At 40.2% G+C, this 19,895-nt stretch overlaps 1 long non-coding RNA gene across 1 annotated transcript in view, besides 1 other annotated feature; it reads left to right on the top strand.

Moving 5' to 3' along the window:
* Positions 1 to 19,588, top strand: part of LOC105370922 (uncharacterized) — a 35,800-nt gene extending 16,212 nt beyond the window's left edge. Inside the window, exons 3-4 of the long non-coding RNA XR_932529.2 lie at positions 6,421 to 6,562; positions 18,784 to 19,588. This is a non-coding gene — a long non-coding RNA (uncharacterized LOC105370922). The remainder of the gene's footprint in view (positions 1 to 6,420; positions 6,563 to 18,783) is intronic.
* Positions 1,342 to 2,000: an enhancer, noted in NCBI's record as "OCT4-NANOG-H3K27ac-H3K4me1 hESC enhancer chr15:82287863-82288521 (GRCh37/hg19 assembly coordinates)". NCBI's record gives its function as "activates a minimal SCP1, AML or CMV promoter by ChIP-STARR-seq in primed H9 embryonic stem cells {active_cell/tissue: H9 hESC(primed)}" and the evidence as "EXISTENCE:reporter gene assay evidence [ECO:0000049][PMID:30033119]".
* Positions 19,589 to 19,895: the final 307 nt, after the last annotated feature.

Here is a 19,895-nt window from a genome sequence, read left to right as displayed (position 1 = left end):
TCTTGGTGCTCCTGTATTGGGTGCATATATATTTAGGATAGTTAGCTCTTCTTGTTGAATTGATCCCTTTACCATTATGTAATGGCCTTCTTTGTCTCTTTTGATCTTTGTTGGTTTAAAGTCTGTTTTATCAGAGACTAGGATTGCAACCCCTGCCTTTTTTTGTTTTCCATTGGCTTGGTAGATCTTCCTCCATCCTTTTATTTTGAGCCTATGTGTGTCTCTGCAAGTGAGATGGGTTTCCTGAATACAGCACACTGATGGGTCTTGACTCTTTATCCAATTTGCCAGTCTGTGTCTTTTAATTGGAGCATTTAGTCCATTTACATTTAAAGTTAATATTGTTATGTGTGAATTTGATCCTGTCATTATGATGTTAGCTGGTTATTTTGCTTGTTAGTTGATGCAGTTTCTTCCTGGTCTCGATGGTCTTTACATTTTGGCATGATTTTGCAGCAGCTGGTACCGGTTGTTCCTTTCCATGTTTAGCGCTTCCTTCAGGAGCTCTTTTAGGGCAGGCCTGGTCGTGACGAAATCTCTCAGCATTTGCTTGTCTGTAAAGTATTTTATTTCTCCTTCACTTATGAAGCTTAGTTTGGCTGGATATGAAATTCTGGGTTGAAAATTCTTTTCTTTAAGAATGTTGAATATTGGCCCCCACTCCCTTCTGGCTTGTAGAGTTTCTGCCGAGAGATCCGCTGTTAGTCTGATGGGCTTCCCTTTGAGGGTAACCTGACCTTTCTCTCTGGCTGCCCTTAACATTTTTTCGTTCATTTCAACTTTGGTGAATCTGACAATTATGTGTCTTGGAGTTGCTCTTCTCAAGGAGTATCTTTGTGGCGTTCTCTGTATTTCCTGAATCTGAACGTTGGCCTGCCTTGCTAGATTGGGGAAGTTCTCCTGGATAATATCCTGCAGAGTGTTTTCCAACTTGGTTCCATTCTCCCCATCACTTTCAGGTACACCAATCAGACGTAGATTTGGTCTTTTCACATAGTCCCATATTTCTTGGAGGCTTTGCTCATTTCTTTTTATTCTTTTTTCTCTAAACTTCCCTTCTCGCTTCATTTCATTCATTTCATCTTCCATTGCTGATACCCTTTCTTCCAGTTGATCGCATCGGCTCCTGAGGCTTCTGCATTCTTCACGTAGTTCTCGAGCCTTGGTTTTCAGCTCCATCAGCTCCTTTAAGCACTTCTCTGTATTGGTTATTCTAGTTATACATTCTTCTAAATTTTTTTCAAAGTTTTCAACTTCTTTGCCTTTGCTTTGAATGTCCTCCCGTAGCTCAGAGTAATTTGATCGTCTGAAGCCTTCTTCTCTCAGCTCGTCAAAGTCATTCTCCATCCAGCTTTGTTCCGTTGCTGGTGAGGAACTGCGTTCCTTTGGAGGAGGAGAGGCGCTCTGGGTTTTAGAGTTTCCTGTTTTTCTGTTCTGTTTTTTCCCCATCTTTGTGGTTTTATCTACTTTTGGTCTTTGATGATGGTGATGTACAGATGGGTTTTTGGTGTGGATGTCCTTTCTGTTTGTTAGTTTTCCTTCTAACAGACAGGACCCTCAGCTGCAGGTCTGTTGGAATACCTTGCCGTGTGAGGTGTCAGTGTGCCCCTGCTGGGTGGTGCCTCCCAGTTAGGCTGCTCGGGGGTCAGGGGTCACGGACCCACTTGAGGAGGCAGTCTGCCCGTTCTCAGATCTCCAACTGCGTGCTGGGAGAACCACTGCTCTCTTCAAAGCTGTCAGACAGGGACATTTAAGTCTGCAGAGGTTACTGCTGTCTTTTTGTTTGTCTGTGCCCTGCCCCCAGAGGTGGAGCCTACAGAGGCAGGCAGGCCTCCTTGAGCTGTGGTGGGCTCCACCCAGTTCGAGCTTCCCGGCTGCTTTGTTTACCTAATCAAGCCTGGGCAATGGCGGGCGCCCCTCCCCCAGCCTCGCTGCCGCCTTGCAGTTTGATCTCAGACTGCTGTGCTAGCAATCAGCGAGACTCCGTGGGCGTAGGACCCTCCGAGCCAGGTGCCGGATATAATCTCGTGGTGCGCCGGTTTTTAAGCCGGTCTGAAAAGCGCAATATTCGGGTGGGAGTGACCGGATTTTCCAGGTGAGTCCGTCACCCCTTTCTTTGACTCGGAAAGGGAACTCCCTGACCGCTTGCGCTTCCCAAGTGAGGCAATGCCTCGCCCTGCTTCGGCTCGCGCACGGTGCGCGCACCCACTGACCTGCGCCCACTGTCTGCCACTCCCTAGTGAGATGAACCCGGTACCTCAGATGGAAATGCAGAAATCACCCGTCTTCTGCGTCACTCACGCTGGGAGCTGTAGACCTGAGCTGTTCCTATTCGGCCATCTTGGCTCCTCCCCCCCCGACATTTTATTATTGATTCAATCTCCTTACTTGTTATTGTTCTGTTCAGATCTGTATCTTCATAATTCAATTGTAGTAGGTTGTATGCGGCTAATATTTTTCCATTTTTTCTAAGTTACCCATTTTGTTGGCATATAGTTGTTCATAATAGTCTCTTAAAATCTGTTGTATTTCTGTAGTATCAATTGTCTCTTTTTTCATCTCTTATTTATTTGAGTCTTCTTTTATTCTCAGCCTAGCTGAAGGTTTGTTCATTTTGTTAATCTTCAAAAAAACACCCAAGTCTTCGTTTATCTTTTGTATTATTTTTTCTATTCTGTATTTCATTTACTTCTGCTCTGATTTTTAGTATATTCTTCCTTCTACTAATTTTGGGTTTAGTTTGCCCATATTTTTCTAGTTCCTTGAGGTGCAGTGTTAGGCTGTATGAGATCTTCCTTTTTGATGTTGGCATTTGTTGCTATAAACTTTCCTTATAGAGCTGCTTATGCTGTATGCCACAGGTTTTGATACATTGTGTTTCCATTTTCATTAGTCTCAAGATATTTAAAAATGTTCCTTTGAATTTCCTCATTGACCTATTGTTTTTCTAGGAGCATGTTGTTTAATTTCCATGTATTCGTTAATTTTTAAAAGTTCCTTCTATTATTGATTTTTAGTTTTATACCATTGTAGTCAGAAAGAATACCTGATATTTGATTTCAGTCTTCTTAAATTTGTTAAGACTTGTTTTGTGATCCTAACATATGATCTATCTTGGAGAATGTTCCATGTGCTGTTGTGAAGAATGTGTATTCTGCAGCTGTTGAATGGAATGTTCTGTATATGTCTGCTAGGTCTATTTGGTCTAGAGTGCAGTTTAAATCTGATAGTTCTTTGTTGATTTTCTGTCAGATGATCTTTTCATTGCTAAAATGGGAGTGTTGAAGACCCCTACTATTATTGTATTACAGTCTGTCTCTCCCTTCAAAGTAATGTTTGCTTTATATATCTAGGTGCTCTGATGTTGGGTGCAGTAGTTACAATTGTCATATCCTCTTGCTGAATTGACTCCTTTATCATTATATACTGACCTTCTTTGTCTCTTTTTACAAATAACTTTAAATCTACTTATCTGATATAAGTATAACTCCTTCTACTCTTTTGCTCTTTTGGTTTCCATTTGCATCAAATATCTTTTCATTCCTTCACTTTCAGTCTGTGTGTGTCCACTTACAGGTGAAGTGAGTCTTTTGTAGGCAGACATATATGGGTCTTTTTAAAAAAATTCATTCCGCCACTCTATGTCTTTTGATTTGAGAATTTAATCCATTTATATTCAAGGTACTTATTGATAGGTAAGGACTTACTACTGTCATTGAGTTGTTTTCTAGTTATTTTGTAAATGATTTCTTCTGTTGTTACTGTCTTCCTTTGTGGTTAAATGATTTTCTCTAGTAGTATGTTTGATTCCTTGCTTTTTACTTTTAGTGTATCTATTACAGGTTTTGCTTTGTGATTACAACAAAGCTTACAAAAACGTCTTACAGTAGGTTATTTTAAGCTGATAACAACTGATTGCAAAAAACAAATCTTCTACACTTTAACCCCACTCTCCATTTGAATTTTTGATGACACAGTTTACATCTTTTTATATGGCATATCTCTCAATAAATTATTGTAATTATTTTTGTTTTTTAATAATTTTTGTCTTTTAACCTTTATACTAAAAAGTTAAGTGATTTACACACCATCATTACAATATTAGGGTATTCTGAATTTGCTTGTGTAGTTACTTTTACCAGTGAGTTCTAGACTTTCAGATGTTTCCATGTTACTCATCAGCAACCTTTTATTTCAGTCTGAAGACTACCATTAGGGTTTCTTCTAAGACAGGTGTGGTAGTGATGGACTTCCTCAGCTTTTGTTTGTCTAGAAACATCTTTATCTCTCCTTCATTTCTGAAGGATAGCTTGGCTAGTTACAGTATTTTTGGTTGGCAGGTTTTTTTCCTTTAACACTTTAAATATAGTATCCTACTGTCTCCTGGCCTGTCCAGTTTCTGCTGCTACTAGGAGGATTGGAACTCCCTTATATGTTATTTGCTTATTTTCTGTTGTTACTTTCAGGATCCTCTCTTTTTCTTTGATCTTTGACCTTTTAGTTATAATATGTCTTAGATCGTCTTATTTGGATTAAATCTGATGGGAGGTGTTTGGCCTTTATGTCCCTGGATATTCATATCTTTCTCCAGATTTGAAAAGTTTTCTGGTATTATTTCTTTAAATAAGATTTCTACTCCTTTATCCTTTCCTACTCCCTGTTGAACACAATGAACTGTATATTTGCTCTTTTGATGCTATCCCATAAATCCCATAAACTTTCTTCTGTTTCATTCTTTTTCTCTTCTGACTATATATTTCCAAATAACCTGTTTTCAAGTTTATAGATTCTTTCTTTTGCTTGATCAGTTCTGCTGTTGGTGCAATTGCATTTTCCATCTTGTTCACTGTATTTTTTAGTTCCAGGATTTCTGTTTGATTTTTTAAAATTATTTTAATCTCTTTATTAAGTTTCTCATTCTAGTCACTTATTGCTTTCCTAATTTCACTGAGTTGTTTCTCTGTATTTTTTGATGTTCAGTAGCATCTTTAAAATAGCGATTTTAAATTCTTTGCCAGGCAATTAATACATCTCCATCTCTTTAGGGTCTGTCACTGGCACCTTATTTTGTCTATTTGGTGAGGTCACATTTCCCTGGTTGTTCCTTGCGGTTATGTACGGATTTCTGTGCATTTAAGTAGGTATTTATTCCAGTCTTCACAGCCTGGCTTTATCTGGGAATGTCCTTTAGCAGTAAGCTTCTTCAGAGATTCTGGGCCGATTATCTGGTGTAGTCCCTAAGCCCATAACTGCTGTAGCTGTTGCTGTGCTAGGGGGTTGCCCTAAGACCTGGACTGCCATGCCAAGTGCACTGCTGGGCTAGAATCAAGTGGCTGCCAAGGCTGGCACACACTGAGCACACCCAAAGCCTACAGCCACTGAGACTAGTGCAACACTGGGGCATGTCTGTAGTCCTTGGCTGCTGAGTCCTGTCTGTTACTGTGGGTTATTCAGAGCCCTGGGCCACTGTAGTTGACTAGTGTTGATGCAAGCCAGGACTTGAGTTCATCTTGCAGTGGCTATAGGTTCCTATCCTGTGTTGGAGTGGATCTATAGGCTCTGTCACTGGCCTAGAGATAGGGGCCGTAGGGACTGCCTGGTGCTGGGTTTTACCATGGCAGGGCTGGTCTTGGTGTCCAAAGCAAAGTTTTATGTTTACTTTCCTCTCCTCCAAGTGAATGATAGGTCTCTCTCTGCTGTGCTGCCTAGATATGGAGGAGGGGTGATGTGGGTACTGTAAAATTGTTCTTCCTATATCTTTAATGCATCTTTTAAAATTATTATGCTATCACCAGGTGCTATGATTTCTCATCTGGCTTCCTTAGTTCTTATAAAGGTATTTTTATGTGTGGATAGTTGTTCAAATTGATGTTTCTGGTGGGGACGATCACTGGATAGTCCTATTCTGCGATCCTGCTTTGCTCTCCCATGGCCAACTTTTAACAAATTAGAAATAGAAGAAAATGTCATAATCTGTTAAAGATTGTCTATAAAAAAAATCTACTGCAAAGGTGAATAAGAAATAATTCCTGTCCTCAAGAAGCTTACAGTCAGGGGGAGATAGATGCAGAAGCCATGAACCACAAAATCATTCTTTGAAGTCCCTTTAACAAAGGAGAAGGTAAAGGTAACATCAATTAAGTCAGCCATCACATCTGAATTTCTTTTTATATAATAATATTGCTGAAATATTCCCTTTTCTATGACCTAACAGTGCAGTCTTCCTGCTCTTATTGCACCATTTTATCTGTAATTATATCTTACTGAAGAGTTTTTAAATGCTCTGCTAAAATCAAGCTGTACTGTGAGTATAACACTCACCTAGTCAACATGACATTTTGTCTCAGATTTAAGAAAAAAATTGTGAGGAAATTTTGACAGTACTTTAAAACCTTAAATTCTTTTTTTTTTATTACTAAGTATCATGTGTACAGGTACATTTACCACATCATGACTTTAACCATCTATGTTCTTCAAGGAAGATAGAGGCTTATGAATGGGGACAGAAATAGAACGAAGGTCAAGAACAGAGTGGGAGAAAATTAAAGAGTAGGGGAGCAAGGTAAGGATGTCTATTGTGACCTTTATCCTGCAATGAAAATACTTGGTAGTTTGTCGTTCTTTTGTTTAATTGTTAAGTACAAATGTCAACGTCTCCACTCTGATGCCTGAGTTTTATTCTCGAGCACAGGATTGTCAGAAAATTGGGTGAGGCTTAGGGATAGGTCTCTTGAACACATTACTTGAAAATAAAATGCTTAAGGTTTTTGAATACCTTTAATTTTTTTCATGTTTACATTATGCATTTTTTTGTGTGTTTTCAAAAATATCAGTCCTCAATTGATTTGGAAAAAAAATAGGTCCCTTACCACAGGGAGTCTGAGAAACACTGAAATAGGCTCCATTAAAATTAAGAAATGCTATTCATAAACAGATACTGTAAAGAGTGAAAAGACAAGCTACACAATGGAAGAAAATGTTCGCAACACATATAACTGACAAAGACCTAGTATCTGAAATGTATAAAGAACCCATTCAAGTCAGTTAGAAAAATGGGTTAAAAAACGTAAAGAGGCACTGCATGTAAAAAGAAATTCTAATGTCCTATAAACATATTAAAGGCCTCCACCTCATTAGTCGTCAGGGAAATGAAAAATTAAAACCACAATGAAAATTACACATGCAGTCACCAGACTGGCAAAAATGTAAAAGCTTCACAAGCCTAATGTTGGTAGGAATCCTGAGTTTCAGAAACTTTCAAATATTTATTGCCTGTGGGAATGAAAATGAATTAAACGATTTTGGAAAACCCATTGGTAGTATCTATCAAAGTTGAACATATACGACCCAGCAATTCTTGAGGACCCAACAGAAATGTGTTACATGTGTGAACCAAAGGACATATACAAGGATATTCATGGAAACACTATAATAGCCCCCAATTGAAAACAGCGAAGGTGTCCATCATAATAAAATGAATAAGTTGTTGTATTGTCACATAATGAAACACTTTATAAAAGTTGTTCTTAAAGCATGGACCATGGACCAGAAACATCAGCATCACCTGGGAACTTGTTAGAAATGCAAGTTCTTGAATCTCACTTTGGACCCAGTGAATAAGAACTATAAGAGTGGGGCTCAGAACTCAGAACTTACATTTTAAGAAGCCTTTCAGATAATTCTGATGGACTTTAAAGATTAAGAACAGAATTTCTCTCTGTTTCTGGCTGTAGAATTTTATTTCTACAGAGATAAATATGAATGAATTATAGCTTTTGCCAACAACATGAATGAGTCTCAGAAACATATTCTGTTGTCATAGTGTTTTTTGTGATTTCCCTAAGGTATCCACAGGACATTTCAGAGGACTGACTCTTCTGTAAATTCAGAAATGTCTCCATGCTCTGATGTTTCTCATCCAGAGAGTCAGTCCCACCTTGGGGCCAAAGTATTATGGCAGGAAACAGTAGGGAGAGATATGGGGGTCACTAAAGGGGTCTGCAGTAAAGGGTGCACTTTGGACTCAAGGAAACATTCAGACTCTAAAATGAAGTCCATGGGTGCCAGAACCCCTGGTGGAATGCTTGAACTGGGGCATCCCAGGCCTGGCTGTGATTGAAGAGAATAAATTCTGCTGCTGAAAATTCCCAAGGGTCTGGATGGAGAAGGTCTAGGGAAACTGGATATTCCTAGACTAAGAGATTGGTAGACGCAGAGGTTCTAGAGCATCTGCTTGGCTTGTCCCTGGCTCTGAATTACTGGCATTGTTTCCTGGGTCATTGCTGTTGTTGCTCCTGCCAAGACAATTTGGCCTGAGCCACACCTGTTAGAGAATTTCTACAACTTTGCTTGCTTCTTTTTGCAGTAGACAGTGCATTCTGGTGTTGCCTCAATAAAGGCCATATGAATTCCTGAGGTTCTTGCTCCTCTTGCTTTTATCCCATTTTCTCCAAGTGTTCCTTAAAGTTTAATAATTTTTTAAAAGGATTATGAGGTAGGTGTAAAAGACAAACTGTTCTAAGGTGTAAAAATAATCCCATTAATGCACTATGGCCTGAGTGGCTCATGGCCAAAGAATAGATCATGACTGTAAAACATGTTGCATTGAACTCTTCTAGCTCTATGGATTTCAATACCTTCTATACACTATCGGCTCAAAAATTTACATTCTGAGGACTTCTCCAAGCTATTCTCTAAGCTCCAGATGCATGCTATCTAATTGCCCACATGACACTTTCACTTTATCCTAAATAGATTTTCCTTCCATTGGCTTCTTACCCCATTCACCTTGTAAAGAATGCCCCTCCCCTAGTCTTCTCCATCTCAGGTAATGGCCTAATGGCCCCACCTTTTACCCAAGACCTAAGGCATGGGAGTCCTCCCTGGTTCTTCTGGTTTCCTCATCCCCCATATCCAATCTACTAACACATTTTTTGGTCTTGGAAAATTTATTTTTTTTTTAATAAATTTCTTTTGAAATTTAGTTTTTAGCCAACCACTTCTCTTTCCACTCTTTCTTCCCAAGAACAATCCATAATCACCTCTCCTAAATTTCTGCATACACTCCCTAACAGGTATTTCTCCATTCTTGTCCCCTTTAATCCATTCTGCAGACAGCATCTAGAGTAACTTTTTGAAGTAAGTAACTTAAGATGACCTAATTTCCCTAATTAAAACATGCCATGGCTTCTCATTACACTTAAGATCCAAATTTCCTGACATACCTACAAAGACAGGATCTAGACCCTGCCGACTTTTTTAGCCTTATCTGTTCCTCTTCCTCCAGTTTACCATACTGTAGCCAGGCTGGCCTTCCTGCTCTTTCTGAAACAGGACATACTCATCCTTACCTCAGGGACCTTAACTTTCCTCTTGTTTCCCTCTGGAATGCCTCCCCAGCCAGATGACCACATGCCTCTCTTCTTTTCATTGTTTGTATCTCTGCTCACATGTCATCTCCTCAGAGACATCTTTGACTATTTCATCTAAAATGGTACCTCCCTTCCACCTCTTGCTTCGGTCTTCTTATTATACATTATTTCCTTCACAGCATTCTCTATCTGAACGTTAATCATTATATTATTGAGTGTCTAGCTGAAAGATGATGAAGGTGTTGGCAGGAATATAAAGCAAGGGAGGAAACACATGTAACAGAAAAGTTGGCCGGATCATACTTCTTCAACCAAACATCCCTAAGTCAACCATGAGTCAGGCACTGTACCAGGAGCCAGAATTAGAAAGATGAATTAGACATGGGCTTGATCTCACAAGTCTCAGAGTCTAGTGTGATAAGCAGTATTTTCAAGAAAGGTTGGGAGCACAGGAAGTGGTATGTCTTGTGGGTATGAAGGACAATGAGGAGAGTTTCAAAGTTTTACGGGTAATTATATTTGGAGAAGGAGTTGGAAACTCTGGAATTGAGTTCTAGGTCATGAGCTGGGAGAATGGTGGAACCATCACTCTATGATCAGAAGGAGGGAAGCCTGATCTGTGACAACCTCTGACACCTTCAGAAACTCCCTAGCCAGAATTCGTGGTAGTCAAAAGCCAACAGTGGGCTGGGCGTAGTGGCTCACGCCTGTAATCCCAGCACTTTGGGAGGCCGAAGAGGGCAGATCACAAGATCAGGAGTTCGAGACCAGCCTGGCCAACATGGTGAAACCCAGTCTCTACTAAAAAATACAAAAATTAGCCGGGTATGGTCGTGGGCGCCTGTAATCCCAGCTACTCGGGAGGCTGAGGCAGGAGAATCACTTGATACTGGGAGGCGGAGGTTGCACTGAGCCAAGATTGCGCCACTGCACTCCAGCCTGGGTGACAGAGCGAGACTCCGTCTCAAAAAAAAAAAAAAAAAAAAAACCCAACAATGGTTGTGCTGAGACACAGACAATGATAAGAAACAGGAGCAAGGCATGGTAGCTAACAGGAGAGCTTCTGGTCATGAAGGACTCTGGAAAAGGAGAGAAGCAAACTATCTCCTTGGGAAGGCCTGGATTACTGGGCAATCCTTTTCTGGATCCAAGCCCTCTTGGGTTCTCCGTTTTCCAGGTCATTCCCATTCCTTCTCTATCTTTACCTTTCAGCAGTGCCTTCCAGCTCTTGGAAATCTATCCTGTTCCACAGAATCCAAGAGCTGGAGCTATGAGTTGACCCATTAGGACACATTATGATCTCTATTCTTGAGCTTTTGCCTGTATTACTTTCCAAGCTATGGTTGCTGGTTTCATTTCATGGAATGCTTAAGCTTTCTAGCATTTAGTCTCTGGAAGCTGAGGGGTTTGTCTACATAGGGTTCTAGTTATGGAAGCTTGGTGGACCCCACTTGGTACTGGGCATGCACTTGTAGCTCAGCTCCACCCACACTCCGGGAAGCCAGATTCTGAGGCCTTTGTCCACAGCAGCCTTGTTGTGGGTGCACTGCGGGAAACCAGCCTAAGATGCCAATTCTAACCCCTATCCCTCAACCTCAAATTTCACATAAAGTTTCTAACAAAAAATAGGCAAATTGGAGTGGTGACTCCAACGCATAATTTATGCTCAAGTTATGGCTCTTTCTGCAAACAAAGCTTTACCCTAAACACATCGGCCATCACTGGTGATGGTCTGAGTCCAAAGTCCATTTCCATGATGTGTAACCAGGGAACTTTATGTCTTAATCAAGATGGTATTTATGTCTGAGGAAATATCTGAATATAATGTATTCCTCAGTTAAGCAGAAATCCCAAGAGAGACAGACTTCACCAAATGCTTTCATTTTATCCACACTAGCCATTTATAGCCTGGTTTCATAAGGAAAAAATATGTTTACTGACTGCTAAGGAGGTGTACATCTTAGTTTCTGAAAACTAACTTACTAAATAATGTGTTAAAATGGCTTTGCATTTTCAGGTTCTCATTTTCAGATGTCTACATTGTGAGCCATAAGGTCTGCAGTTTGCTTAAACCCAGATTATTATATATTTTTGCTTCCAGTGATATTTAATATTTGGTTTACCTTTTTTACTTACCTATTCATAATGAATGGCTGATGATCTTGAAGTGGATTCAGCTTTAGTGTAAAACATATAAACATATGCTGTTCTTTTTTTTTTTTGATGGATTCTCACTCTGTCGCCCAGGCTGGAGTGTGGTGACGCAATCTTGGCTCACTGCAACCTCCACCTCCCGGGTTCACGCCATTCTCCTGCCTCAGCCTCCCAAGTAGCTGGGACTACAGGCACCCGCCACCATGCCTGGCTAATTTTTTTTTTTTTTTTTTTTGAGACAGAGTCTTGCTCTGTCACCCAGGCTGGAGTGTGGAGTGCAGTGGCACAATCTTGGCTCACTGAAAGCTCTGCCTCCCAGGTTCATGCCATTCTCCAGCCTCAGCCTCCCGAGTAGCTGGGACTACAGGCACCCGCCACCATGCCCGGCTAATTTTTTGTATTTTTTTAGTACAGACAGGGTTTCAACATGTTAGTCAGGATGGTCTCGATCTCCTGACCTGGGGATCTGCCCACCTCGGCCTCCCAAAGTGCTGGGATTACAGGCGTGAGCCACCATGCCCAACCTTTTTTTTTGTATTTTTAATAGAGACGGGTTTCACCATATTAGCCAGGATGGTCTTGATCTCCTGACCTCGTGATCTCCTGCTTCAGCCTCCCAAAGTGCTGGGATTACAGGCGTGAGCCACTGTGCCCGGCCAACATATGCTGTTCTTGATACATGCTGTATACATCTTTCTAAATACGCATGTGTTTACCAGAGAACAATTTGCAGAATAAAGATTCTGTTAGGAAAGTGGCTTGAAGGCTAAAGATTCATTAATCTGGGTTTACAAAAGAGATATAAATGGGACAGAGAGCAGTGACCACCTGCTTATTTAGTTTCAAAAATACTAGCATAGTGCTTTGCTGGTGAGTGAACTTCAACATTTTGGAGGGATTGATAGAACACGAGAACGTGTTGGGTAGAAGGGAGGAGGAAGCGGTAATGTGGGATACAGTGTTCCTAACATTTTTCCTATCAATCCATAGACCTTCAAAAAGTCCTGAGAAAAAGGGTTTTATAGTCAAACAAGTTTGGAAAGTAGTATATACTGTATCTCCCTTTTGGAAATTCACAGAGTATAATAGCACTATAAAGGCTCTGAGAAAATCTTCAATCAAGAAAACCTGTTCACTTTGTTTAAGCACTAGAGTGCTTTTTTGTTTTGGTTTTTTTGGAGACACATATTGATATGGCACCATCTAGGTCTGAGTTTGTTGAATCGGAGTTCATTGCTATGGCTTTTTCCCATGACTCTGGGGCATTGGGGGATGGGCCTGAGGCACTATAGACAGGGGAGGTCGAGGCAAAGCCTCAGACAGATGTTGTCAAAGATAACCAAAGCTGGATGCTGGGTTGAAGTGGCAAGGGCAGATTGTAACCTGTGGTCCACTATTGCAACTGGGAAAAGAGTCCCATGTGAACTGACCTCAGCTTTAGTTTATTCGGAGGTGACTGGGTATTTTAAAGGGAGAAATGAAGGCATATGGATAGGGCAGTGTGGGGCCTCAGTAGAGTCAGGGAAGTGAACAATTACAAAAAGCAGGAAGGGGCTTTGGAGTTAGTCCATGTGAAACCCCTCTGGGTTTGCTAACTGGCGCTTATTGAAGTCAGGCTCCTACCCTTGCGCAGAGGCTAGGAGACAGGGTATCTATCTTCAGGTGATGGCTGGAACAAACAGTCCATTGCTTTGGCAGCCATGAGTTTTCTCAAGAAGGCAGTCTAGGTCATCCTAACAGCCTCGAGCGGTTAGAAACTGTGTTAGTGTATGTTCAATCCCTTTATAGGCCGAGGTTGAGGCCTCATCAAGAGGAGGGCTCCGAGGAGCCTGGCAGGAGTTTGGTCAAGGAAAGAATTTTTGTCAGTGTCGTGTGCTGTCAGAACTGGGTGTAGAAACCAGAGACTCATGCTCAGAAACAAGATGGGGAAACACGTGCCCCTCATACACTTCCCTCTAGTGTCTAATCAGCTCTCTGGCACAACAGTTCATTTGGCACCAGCCTCAGTTTACCTTCCTGCTTTTAGCACTTAATTACTTCACATGAGAAAAGCAGAAAAAGAGAGGATGATATAATGGTGAAGGCCACTGCATGAATTTTCATGATCCTTTGTTCTTTCCTATCAGATATCCCAAAATTAGAAATGGGAGAGATTGATTTTATATATCAGGTGAAGACATTTTGATTTAGATCAAATTGCGTTTAAATTAGCAATTCTACTTCTGAGAACACATTTCAAGGGACTGTCTCTAAATACTCCCTTCCGCCCACGCACATGCAGCTGGCTACCCCGTCTTGCCAATCACGCCCTCACGTGTGCCTTACGTCCATCTGTTTGCTCATTCTCCTCGCCCAGCTCCCATCCGCATTGCCTCTTACCACCATTGTTTCCACGGGCCCCTGATAGAATTTCAATGCAACCTGCTCCCATGTCACCCTTCATTCAATGGACAGTCCCCAAATACATCTTCCTACAGTACATGTCATTCTTCTGCCTAAAATCTTCAGTGACTTCCTTCTGTTCTCAGAGTCAAGTCCAGTCTCCTCAGAATGGTATCAGCTTCTGCTAGGATGTGGTCCCAATCTATGTTTTACTCTTATACTCCATCAGTTTCCTAAATATATTTGCCTCCCAACCAAGCTCTCCCCTTACCTCCTTTGATCTTTGCCTAAGCTGTTTTCTTCTTAGCATGACCTTCCCTAATCAACTTCTTAAAGACTTACCCATCCTTCAAGGTGCAATTTCAAAATGCCAACTTTTCCGTGAAGTCCCCCGGTCCTTCGAGCCACAAGGGATCTTTGCTGCTTCTGTGTTCCCATGGCTCTTTTGCTTTTAGTTTTAGTTATTTATATCTTCGTTTAGTTACGTGTGTCTTTATTTTATCTCCTTGGAGGAAAGGATGACTTTTAATCCACCTCGTTATTTCGATATAACCTAGTATAGTGCACACTGGCCTGCACTTAGTAGGAGATCATCTGTTAATGATTGCGAAATGAACTACAAAGATCAGGGAAGTATTTCTTTTTACAAGAAGTATTTATATTCTGGATATTTTCCTTTAGGAACAATATCACTCATTTTGCCAGTAGAAGTATAAATTGCAATGCAACCATCTTTATTTAAGAGTGAGTTTTTTGAGAGCAAAAAGGGGTGAGCCCTGGGCAACATAATCCAGTTAGTCCAATTTTTACTTTCCATTCTAATTTATTTGTTTTTTTGGGAGGGGATGACATAAGGTTGAGACCAGTTTCCCTGCTTCTAAATGCCTGAAAAATGATCAATTCTGAATTATATTATGGTTCTCTTGAATCTGTCTATGTAGTTAATCCTCTCTGGGAACCCGTAAAATTTAGACTTTTAGTATGGTCCACGGACTGTTGCTTATTATTATAAAAATATTGAAACAATTATGCGAATACATCTCTAATTACTGTATAATTATATATGATAATAGAAAAACAAAATGTTCTTCCTAATTTTTATCTTCGGTGTATCTTGAGTTAGAATAATTTGAGATGTAATTTTGACGTACATAAAAATAGATTTTAAATCTTAAAGTTCATTTAACGAAAGCTAAAAATTACCTTTATCCATCATGGTGATGGGAAAACTTTAATTGAAAACAGATTAGCAGGTGTGTCCTGCATGCCCAGCTTATGTTGATCTTGAGTATGTTTTTAGTATGTGATTTGAGGCCGTGGTACCAGACTTTAGAGAACAATGCATAATTCATTGCCATCATCATTTTCACAGAACAGTGTTGTTGAAGCCTTTCCTTGGGCTTGGGGCCGTCTTGGCTGTTTCAGAATTTTGGTGAGCAGATTGAGTGATAATTTTAGGCTTCTAAAATCAGTCTGTGTCCCCTCAGTCACATGATGTCATAAGCAGCTGGTGTTGCCTTGGCAACTTTACAGAATAAAAGTGCTGCTTTTGGTAAAACTTTGGGTCATGTGACCTAGCTCTGTAGCTGGGGAAAACGACACAAAATTATTACTTACTTCACCAAAACAAACCAAGATTCACATAAGAGAAAAACAAATCCAGAACTCAAAGTCCCATGTGAATTAATTACCCACCTTGCCATCATCTGAAAGGCAAGTTTGTTTGACTTTGTAATTTCAACATGCTTCACTCCCCGCAATACTTTGAGATTCATCTTCTCCTTTCCCCAGCCCTCCCTATGACCCAGGAAAGTGCATCCATTTCTGAGACGTTAGCAAGGCTGGGAGAAGAATGACAAAACTAATCAATCCAGAGGAGTTCTGACTGCCTAACCTTTCATCCTGTGTGTTCTAGTGCCCCGTGCTGTAAAGAGTTCGATTACTGCCACCAATTTGCTGTGTGATTTGGGGAGAAACATCTCGTGGTTAAGGCCCCCCTCCTCTATTGCAGACAAGGGGCTTACTGTCAAGAAATCATGGTGCCCTTCAGCGATTGGGTAAATCAGTCTATAAACTATGAATAGCCAGCAATAATTATTTAGATGTTCCTGCTACATAGCTATACGAAATGATAAAATTACTTTGTATTTTTTTTAGGATTCTAAGTACCCATATTTAAAATAATACTTGAAAACAGAAAAATATAAAGAAATGGAATAAACATAATATAATCCTGTCATCTAGAGAGCATAACTATGAATATTTTAGAAATTTTCCTTCCATTTTTAAACATGTTTCCATGTAAACAAATTATAATACATATATTTCAAAATAAACAGGCCAGGCCCGGTGGCTCATGCCTGTAATCCCAACACTTTGGGAGGCCGAGGCAGGTGGGTCACGAGGTCAGAAGATCGAGACTATCCTGGCTAGCACGGTGAAACCCTGTCTCTACTGAAAAATAGAAAAAATTAGCCGGGCGTGGTGGCGGGCGCCTGTGTTCCCAGCTACTTGGGAGGCTGAGGCAGGAGAATGGCGTGAACCTGGGAGGTGGAGCTTGCAGTGAGCCGAGATTGTGCCACTGCACTCCAGCCTGGGCAACAGAGCGAGACTCTGTCTCAAAACAAAACAAAACTAAACTAAAAAACAAAATAAACAAATTATATGACACACACACAAGCAAATATATGTATGTATATATAATATTACTGTTTCTCCTTCACATAAAACTGATGTGTCCATGGCATCCATAAATTTGTGTATCTATTTATTTCTCCACCTTATACAACAAATAATTTAAGGTGGTTTAAACTTACTTTTTGAGCAAGACTCTTATTTTTAAATTTAACCCCTTCTATATTGTTTGGCTTCTCTAATATTGTGCTATTATAAGTAATATGAAAAAATCTTTGCATTTTAGAGTGTCAGATGTGTGACTATAATATCAAAATTTATATAACAATTTTTAAGGCTCTGTACACATTGAAAAATTGCTTTCCTAGAAAAATTGTATCGTTTACTCCTTCACCAGTAATGGATAAAAATTCTAGTTTTAACACATCCTGTCAGCATCGAATCATATTTTTAAAAAGGTAATTTAATATCCAGTTCCCATATCTTGGTTTCTAATACCATTTTCTGACCAATGGAACCAGAGCTCCTTAGAGAAATGCTGATTGTTGGTCTGGGGGAGGAAACATATAAGATAAGCCTGGAGCATTGTAGGGCTAAAAAGTAAAGAAATGCTTTAAAAAAAAGGACAAAACAAAACAAAACAAAGAAACGGAGTATGTCAAAGAGTCACAGGCGCCAACTGGAAAGAGCTCTCAAAGGCCAAAGCTGGAACAGTTTGAGCAGCAAACTAAATAAAGTAGTATTGGATTATAACCCACAGTATAAAATAAATATCCATGAATCCACACTAATATAAATAATGATTTGACTAAATAAATAAATGGAGGAGAACAGACAAATCTCCCATGTGGAATAATCCCAAATAATTTATGTAGATTCTTCACTGTCAAGTATGCAGTGAGTAACATTCCCCTTTTTAAGTGTGGTCTGCACACAGTGACTTCTTTCCCAAGATTATGGTGTGAAAACAGGAAATAAAAGTAATTTTTTAGTGGAGAAACCTGATGAACACTACCTCAGCCAAGAGGTCAAGTAAGCATCAACAGTGATAAGTCATGATGGTGTTAGATCATACCTTGATGAGAATGGCACTTTGCCATGATCTTCCTCCCAAAACACACAATCACAGTCAAATCATGAGAATCACAGCAGACAAATGCAAATTAAGGGACATTCTACAAAATACCTGACAAGTACTCCTCTAACTGTCAAGGTCATCAAAAACAAGGGAAGTCTGAGAACCAATCACAGCTAAAAGGGGCGAGGAGGCACGACAACTACATGAAATGTGGTATCCGGAATGGGATTCCAGAACAAAAAAGAGGCTGCTAATAAAGACATGCCAGAGACTGGGTAATTTATAAAGGAAAGAAGTTTAATTGACTCACAGTTCCACATGGCTGGGGAGGCCTCACAATCATGGTGGAAGGCAAAGAAGGAGCAAAGTCACATCTTGCATGGCAGCAGGTCAGAGAGCATGTGCAGGGGAACTCCCCTTTATAAAACCATCAGACCTAGTGAGACTTATTCACTACCAGGAGAACAGCAGGGGAAAGACCTGCCCCCATGATTCAATTACCTCCCACCAGGTCCTCCACAACACGTGGGAATTATGGGATCTACAATTCAAGATGAGATTTGGGTGGGACACAGACTAACCATATATGAGATACTAGGTCAAGACTAAGCACGTATCAATAAACTGTGGACTTTAGTTAATAATACGATATCAGCCAGGTGCGGTGGCTCACCCCTGTAATCCCAGCACTTTGGGAGGTCGAGGCGGGTGGGTCACGAGGTCAGGAGATCGAGACCATCCTGGCTAACACGGTGAAACCCCATCTCTACTAAAAATACAAAAATCTAGCCGGGATTACAAATCCCAGCTACTTGGGAGGCTGAGGCAGGAGAATGGCGTGAACCCGGAAGGTGGAGCTTGCAGTGAGCTGAGATCACACCACTGCACTCCAGCCTGGGCAGCAGAGGGAGACTAAGTCTCAAAACAAAACAAAACAAACCACTATACCAGTATTGGTTCATTAATTTTAACAACCGTACCATACTAATTAAGATATTAATAATGGGGGAACTGGGTGTGGAGTATATTATATAGGAACTCTCTGTAAATCCAAAATGTTTTTCTATAAATCCAAAACGTTCTAACACAAATTTCTTAACTTATGTAATTTGAGGCATTAATTAAATAATTCATTCACTCATTCATTCCCTACTCTGTGTCAAGGTGCCATAATAGTGAAAGGAAATACAAGATTCCTGTTGTCAAGGACCTTACATTCAATAGGAGAAAGACGTACAATAAGCAAATAAAAATGTAAGTAAATATAGTGCTTTCAGATAAATAAAATAAAACAGTGATAGGATAGAGAATATCTACAGAGGAGAATGAGTTCAGGAAAGATGTCTTAAAAGAGGCAGTAATACATCCTAGACATAAATGACAGAAAGAAGCCAGCAATTAAGGCGTCAGGTATAGAATGCTCTGGGCAGAAGTAGTAGCAAGTGAAAAGTCCTGATATTAGATCATAGTGGTGGAGGGAGAGGGTAGTTGCCATGCAGGGCTCACTTGGCAGGATAAAGACTCAGGCAACAGCCCTGAAGAAGGAGGAAAGGGGACTAAGGGAGAGGCAGTTTGGAGGTAGAGCCCTCAAATAACTTTTTCTGTAGATGTATAGGAAATAGAGGAATCAAGGACAAATCCTATACTTTTGATTAAAATTACTGGTTTGATGGATTTATCATTCACTGAGAGGTTAAAGAAATAATTTTTTGGACCATATCAAATGTGAGATGCCAAGGATATGCTTGGATCTATGAGTCTGAAGCATATTGAGGCTCACTGAGGTGGTCATTGACATTCAGAGGGTATTGAAGTAAAGGAACTGCTTGCAATTACCCAGAAGGTAGAATAGACAGAGGAGGAGAGGGATAGAACCAAGTTCTTATGTTTTCTTCTGGGAGTTTTATGGCTTCAGGTCCTATGTTGTCTTCAATCCATTTTGATTTGATTTTTCTGTACAGTGTAAGATAAGGGTCCAATTTCATTTTTATACTTGTAGATATCCAGTTTTCCCAATACCATTTATTGAAGAGACTATTCTTTCCCCATCATGTATTTTTGGCACCTTTGTTGAAGCTTGATTGACCTTATGTGCATGAGTTTATATCTGGGATTTCTATTTTGTTTCATTGGTCTATGTATCTGTTTTTATGCCAATGTCATACTGTTTTGATTACTATAGTTTTGTAATATAGTTTTTTAAAAAAGATTTGGGGTTCTGTGTTCCCCAGGCTGGCCTTAAACTCCTGGGCTCAATTGATCCTCCCACCTCAGCC

This window comes from Homo sapiens, chromosome 15 (genome assembly GCF_000001405.40).
Source record: "Homo sapiens chromosome 15, GRCh38.p14 Primary Assembly".
Lineage (NCBI taxonomy): Eukaryota > Metazoa > Chordata > Mammalia > Primates > Hominidae > Homo > Homo sapiens.
The sequence above is the reverse complement of the archived record's forward strand: the minus strand, read 5'-3'. Positions and strand labels throughout refer to the sequence as shown.